This window comes from Homo sapiens, chromosome 17 (assembly GCF_000001405.40).
Source record: "Homo sapiens chromosome 17, GRCh38.p14 Primary Assembly".
NCBI classification, from domain to species: Eukaryota; Metazoa; Chordata; class Mammalia; order Primates; family Hominidae; genus Homo; species Homo sapiens.
The window spans coordinates 39946653-39953691 of NC_000017.11; the positions used below are offsets into that span (position 1 = coordinate 39946653).

Consider the following 7039-nt stretch of genomic DNA (forward strand, 5'->3'; position numbering starts at 1 on the left):
GGGCTGGAGGCCAGCTTCCCATCTCCCCTTCTGCTCCCCAGCCCCTGCCACCAGAGTCCATCTGCTGGACTGGCCAGGACTGTGCCGACACACTCAGAGCGGCTCCTGCATGGAACGACTGCCCCAGAATCCCGGACTGCTCCCTCTGCATCCTGACCCCGGGCTTGTGCTTGTCCACTGGGCAGGCAGGAGGGGGTGACGTAACTGGCTTCACTCCCATCCTCACCTCTGCCATGGACCAGGGATCACAGGACCCTGGGTTTTGAGAAACCACGGAAGCCTGGTGAGGCAGCTGGACAGCCTCGGTGATGTTGCCCGCATCTGCCCTTCTGCCTGGGACAGAGGGAGAGAAAAGGCACGCTCTTCTGGGAGACACACTGTGTCAGTCCCAAACTCTCCCACCAGGAAATGCTGGAACCTGGCTCAGGAACCAAGACAGCCCAGCCTACAGCTAACCCAGGCCTGAGGCAAGAGTTCCCGCGGCCTGGGCCCAGGTCCCAACTTGTCACCACATGCAGCATCAGGGAGCCAGTGGGCTGTGATGAGAGGAGAGGGAGAGGCCTAAAACTGCCTTTGCAAAATGATGACTGAGACAGTGAAAGAGATTTAACTTAACTGATTCCATCTTGCTTTTAACCTCCAAGCTGTCCCCGCTCATTCCTAGGCATAGGCTGAACTAACTTTGGGAAAAACTTAGTTTATAGTTTAAACAAAGACAGTAACAGCCCTTTCCCAAAGCAGACCTCCTTCTTGCCTGGGGACTAGATTGCCTTTGTAGAACTAACATTAGCCACAAGATCAGAAATTATGGTTTAGGAGTCGTGCCGCTGGAGGCTCCCTAAACTGCTCCGAAGATCAGGGCTTGAGATATTTTGCAGACCCTGCACTTGATGGATCAGCTGGCCCCACCCAGATCAATAAACTGGCTCCTCTGATCTTGTGGCCCCCACCCAGGAACTGACTGAGCACAAGAAGACAGCTTTGACTCCCTGTGATTTCATCTCTGACCAATCAGCACACCTGGTTCACTGGCTTCCCCGCAACCCACCAAGTTATCCTTAAAAACTCTGCCCCCGACGTGCTCATAGAGACTGATTTGAGTAATAATAAAGCTCTGGTCTCCACACAGCCGGCTCTGCATGAATTACTCTTTCTCTATTGCAATTCCCCCGTCTTGATAAATCGGCTCTGTCTAGGCAGCACGCAACCTGAACCCCTTGGACGATTACAGGCCCACACAGCCCTTCCGCCACCAGCTTCTTCCTGCCCTACAGAGCTGAGGCCTGGAGTGGCAGAGAAAGCCAAGGGTACCCTGAGGGAGCACCCAGCTGAGGGGGAGTGAAGCTCCACCCCTTCCTGAATTGGGCTCACAAACAGAGGCTTCGAGAGCACAACCCTAAGACTGAGGTCTCCTACAGAGTGAGGGGCATCAAAGCCAGAGGAACCCGGGGAGCTTATTCCAAAGGGAGGGACTGCCTCCCCCATTGGACTAAAGGGAGTTCGAACTGCTAGAAATGGTTTCGCCTTAGCTCTCTGAGAATCTGCCATCATCAACCTCTCTTACCTCCAAGGAACAGTCACCCCAAACCAGGAAGGCAAAGGGAAAGCAGAACAAGGCCCCCAAGCTGCCAAATGGATGCCACCACAAGCCCACCCCTTCATTCGACAAGAATCTGTTGGTCGGGCGCGGTGGCTCCAGCCAGTAATCCCAGCACTTTGGGAGACCAAGGTGGGCCCTGAGCTCAGGAGTTCGAGACCAGCCTGGCCAAGATGGTGAAACCCCGTCTCTACTAAAAATACAAAAATTAGCCGGGTGTGGTGGTGCGGGCCTGTAATCCTAGCTACTCAAGAGGCTGAGGCAGGAGGATCGCTTGAACCCAGGAGGCAGAGGTTGCAGTGAGCCAAGACCGTGCCACTACACTCCAGCCTGGGTGACAGAATGAGACTCTGTCTCAAAACAAACAAACAAACACCATCCGTTGAGTTCCTGTGCATGGCAGGCGCTGCAACTACAAAGATCAGGAAGTTGTGCCTGACCCTGGGGACCTGACAGGCTAGTGTATCAGTGATGACAGTCCAGGAAGACAGGGCTGTGCACAGGGGCCCTGTGAACCCATAAGGAGCATCTCAATCAAACACCGACAAAGGGTCATGTACTTTGCTCACAGGAACCCTCGCTCAGAACTCATTTATTCTTAGTTTACAAGAGTTCTAATAATTTCAGAACTGTGGCTTCCTGCTTATATCAAGTTAGAAACAGTATTTCTGAAGTAGCAAAAATTATATTACAGAGGGTCAGAATAACAGCAGTGAGAAAGTACACCCTAACGACGGGGAGGGACATGATTAAAAGTCTAAGAACTCAAAAGGCATTGTCACAGGGCATTTTAGTGTCTCTTAAATGGCCCTGTGTGGAAAACTGACTCCCCCTGCCTCACAGGGGCCTATGGGCATTGGCAAAATGCATGAGATCAGTACATTGACTTCGGGTTACCTGCAGAAAAGTTCAAATCTTGGAGTGTCCATTCTCAGAAGCAGGGAGCTGGTGATGCACTTGAGAAAGAATTTCCATCAAGGACTGAAGTAAATAAGGCAGAATGACTATTGGAAAATGCTACTTCAACCTCAACTACTTCCTTGTTCCTTCTTCCCACTGGTCGAAGATCTGCCCCTGGGGCCATGCAAAACAAACCAGCCTAAAAGCCTAGTCTTTTTTTTTCTTTTTTCTTTTTTTTTTTATTTAGAGACAGGGTCTCACTCTTTCTCCCAGGCTGGAGTGCAGTGGCGTGATCACAGCTTTTATGTCCCACTACCACCACACACGCATATGTGAGCACACACACACGTATCTGCCTCGGGCCCCTGTAATGCAGTTGATCTTCCCCAATCATAATATATATTTCAGCCGGGCACAGTGGCTCACGCCTGTAATCCCAGCACTTCGGGAGGCCGAGGCTGGTGGATCACCTGAGGTTGGGAGTTCAAGACCAGCCTGGCCAACCTGGCAAAAACCCGTCTCCACTAAAAATACAAAAATTAGCTGGGCATGGTGGCGGGCGCCTGTAATCCCAGCTACTCAGGAGGCTGAGGCAGAAGAATCACTTGAACCCGGGAGGCAGAGGTTGCAGTGAGCTGAGATCACGCCGTTGCACTCCAGCCTGAGTGACAGAGTGAGAATCCGTCTCAAAAAAAAAATATATATATATATATGTTTCTACACTTATGACAACTGCCATCTTCCTCTTTTAGAACACCAAACAAAACTTAAGCCCCCACACTAATACTAATGTCTAAGGTCAGCCCTCACTTCTCATTCACTTTTGGGGCCAAGGCAATTTATCAGGGAATGTTTCCAGCAGAGGGTGTATGGGAACGAGCACAGGGCACATCTGTCCTGTAGAACTAAGAAAAGACTCAAGATCACCAAGACTGCAGTCACAGGGGTCCTGGTGAATGCCTCTGTCACTGTCGAAGGCAAATGTCAAAACTCCCTGGACATCCAAAACCTCAGCCATCATCGTGAATGATCTGGAAAACCTGAGGAAGAGGCGAGCTTGCAGGGTGGGGTGAGGAGGCAGGTTGAGGATTCCAGGCCAGATGCTAGAGGCTGGTACAGAGGAATAGCACCCACCCAGAATAGCACGGACTGCTCAAGTTGGCAGGGATCTCTATTTTACAAAAGGGCCCAAAGAGAGGCAGCGAGTTATCCAAGGTCACATAGGGAGGGAAGGAAAGAACCAGGACTAGAATCCACAGGGCCCTGTCCCTCTGGGACATACACATACTCCCCTTCCAGGGGAATGAAATAAGGGAGAGATAGGGAGAGACAACCATGAGCCCAGGGTGCAGCTGAAATGGGCAGAGGGTCTACCCACTCGCAACCTCTGACAGCCTCTGAGTCTAGCCCCACCCCTTCCACAAAGCTGAAGTAGGCAGAGCAGTCCTTCCTCCAGAAGCTTCCGGAGGATGGGGAGAATCTATACGTGGTGACCAAGACCATGGAGATGCTGAAGAAGGGGGGTAAGGCCAGAGGGGCAGTTCCATCCCCGACCTCACTGCTGTGGGGCTCAAGGTTGGGAATCTCTGAGATGCCTTCTCTGCCCCATCCCTTCCATGCACACTTGCCCCTCTCCTTCCCCCACGCAGCCCCTACTCTCCTCTGCATTCTATGCCATTTCCCTTCACACTTTTATCTTTTCTAAGGACTTTTTCATCTATCATCTCACAGGAATCCCCTGAGGAAGGCAAAATTGCTATTGCAATCACCATTTCGTACAGTTTAGGAAACTGGACTTTGGAAAAGTCCAGGGACTGACCCAAGGTCAATCTGTGAGCAAAGCCCAGGTTTTGAGATTCCCAGCTGGCTCTTTCGCCAGGCAGCTCCACTGCAGCCAGGGTTCTCCCACCATCTGCCAGGGTTCCCTTCTTTCATTCTCTCCCATCTCCTCCCCTCCCCTCCCCTCCCTGCCCTGTGGACAGCTGCATTTCCCAGGGCTCTCTGTTTCCACACGGGAGCATCATCATGGCCTTTCTCCCCAAGCAGTGGGTCACTGGGGAGGAGAGCTGGAGTCACAGAGTACAGTGTGAGGGAGGGAAGGGGAGGGGAGGCGGCCTCCCAAGGGACGGTTCCTACTCTGAGCCAAGCCCTCAGAGCTGAGCTGAAGTCTGGAAGTTTGGAGTCTTCCATTTCTGTTTGGGCTCTGCCCCCCAAACCAGCTGGCGACTCCACCCCCTCCTGGGTCCCTCCCAATCCCTATTCCACATCCCCTGCTGTGTGGCTCCCTAATGCCTGCACCTACGTGTCCCCTCCTGGAGGCAACACTATATATATTGGGTGCAGGGGCGGGTGGGGGTGGGAAGGGACAGAGAAGTCAGAGACAGCCAGTGCCCAGTGCCCCATTTCTTCTTTTTTTTGAGACAGAGTCTCGCCCTTGTTGCCCAGACTGGAGTGCAATGGTGCGATCTTGGCTCACTGCAATCTCCGCCTCCTGGGTTCAAGCAATTCTCCTGCCTCAGCCTCCTGAGTAGCTGGGACTACAGGCGCACACCACCACACCTAGCTAATTTTGTGTTTTTAGTAGAGATGGGAGAGAATCCACGGGGCCCTGTCCCTCTGGGACACACACACACTCCCCTTCCAGTGGAATGAAATAGGAGAGATAGGGAGAGACAGTTTCACCATGTTGGCCAGGCTGGTCTCAAACTCCTGTTCTCATGTGATCCACCTGCCTCAGCCTCCCAAAGTGTTGGGATTACAGGCGTGAGCCACCACACCTGGCCACAGTGCCCCATTTCTGACCTTCACAGACATCCCCCATCCAAGAACAAGAAGCTGAAAATGCCCTCAGAAGGTCAGAGAAGCAGAGGGCTCTTCTCCCCATCCCCAACCCAAAGGTGGACAAAACCTTAGAAGGTGAGAGGGACACAGAGACCCCTTTCCTAAGCAAAGGAAAGAAATCTGTCAAGTCAGCAGCTGAAGCCCAGAGCCCCTTCGCAAGGGAAAGACTTTGGGGTGATGGTGGGTGGGATGCAGAGGGGTCCCCTGGACATTGGCGGGACGTAGTGCTGACTGTGATGGCAGCCACGGGTTTCTTGGGCCTTTTCGGTGCATCCTCCCCGCAAGCCTCCACCACGCTGTTCCAGGTAGGCTGAGGTTAGGCCCACTCAGGGCGGCACCTTGGCGCAGGACACCTCTTCCGTTTGGGCTTTCCGTCCTCGTGATTTCGCTCTCCATCTGACAGTCATCCATGGTGACAGGGTGTGTCCCTTTCCCCTAAACAGGATCCTCAATGCCCATCGGAAAACGTTGTAAGGCGTTGAGCCCCCAACGCCCCCTCACCACAAGACCCTGCTGTGACCATCTTTTCCTGGTGAGGAGAGTCTGCACGGGGGAGCAGGGCGCCATACCCCAGAAAGAAACCTCTGTGCCTGGGAGTGAGGGACTCGCTGAGTAAAGTGAGGTCGAAGAGGGTGGAGAGGGGTAGGGTCCCAGTCACCACTGTCCTGAACCCACAGTTCAGTCCGGGCCCAAGATGGCCCCACAGGAGCACAGGGGGTTTCGGGCGCTGCAGGTGGAGGTGAAGGACCAGCTGCGGTGCGGAAAGGCCTGACCCGGGCGGCAGATCGCCTGCGGAGAGAATGACCGGCTGGGGTGGAGGCGGGGCTGGGGTGGTGTGGGCGTGGCTGGGGAGGCGTGGCTGGTGTGGTAGGCTTAAGCAGTGAGGGCGGGACTGGGGCAGAGGCGGGGTTTGGGCGCTGAGGGCGGGGCTGGGGCTTTGAGGAGGTGGCTGGGGCTGGGGCGAGGCTGGTGCGGAGGCGGGGTTGGGGCGGTGAGGGCGGGGCTGGGGCAGAGGCGGGGCTGGCGGAGTGAAGGCGGGGCTGGGGTGGTGAGGGCGGGGCTGGTGCGGAGGCGGTGCGGGGGAGGTGTGGGTGGGGCTGGGGCCGAGACGGAGTTTGGGCAGTAAGGGCGGGGCTGGTGCGGAGGCTGGGCTGGTGCGGTGAGGGCGGGGCTGGGTGGAGGCGGGGCTGGGGTAGAGGCGGGGCTGGGGCGGGGTGGGCGGAATTGCGGGCTGCGGGGCAGAGATGGTGATGGCGTCCGGGGGGCGGGGCTGGGTGGACGGCCGGACTACAAGGGACGAGAGGCTGGGCTTAAGGTAGCAGGGGGCAGAGCGGATTGCCCAGGGGCGGGGCGGGATCGGGGACAAGGCTCAAGTGCTGAGGACCAGACATGCGCCGGAAGCCCAAGCCCGGCTAGCGAGTAGGAGGGTGGATGGTGGGGGATGATAGGCTAGGCTTAAGATGGCTGAGGGCGGGGATACAAGGTGGTAGGGCCAGAGATGGGCTGGATGGGGCGTGATCGGCCTCCTCCTGGGAGATCTCAGCCCACCTGAGTAGGCTTCTTCCGGCCGCAAGAGAGACTGGGGCCTGGCCCTGATGGAATGGCCATTCTGAGCGTGAAGACCTGCGTCCCCCTCCCTTCAGGAAGCTCCCTGTCTCTCAAATTTCAGGGGGATCATCACTTCCCATCTCTCTGCCAGGT

At 55.5% G+C, this 7039-nt stretch overlaps 2 annotated features.

The window, feature by feature from the left end:
- Positions 6125-6644: a silencer, noted in NCBI's record as "silent region_8468". NCBI's record gives its function as "represses an Ori minimal core promoter by ATAC-STARR-seq in GM12878 lymphoblastoid cells {active_cell/tissue: GM12878}" and the evidence as "EXISTENCE:reporter gene assay evidence [ECO:0000049][PMID:35858748]".
- Positions 6685-6734: a silencer, noted in NCBI's record as "silent region_8469". NCBI's record gives its function as "represses an Ori minimal core promoter by ATAC-STARR-seq in GM12878 lymphoblastoid cells {active_cell/tissue: GM12878}" and the evidence as "EXISTENCE:reporter gene assay evidence [ECO:0000049][PMID:35858748]".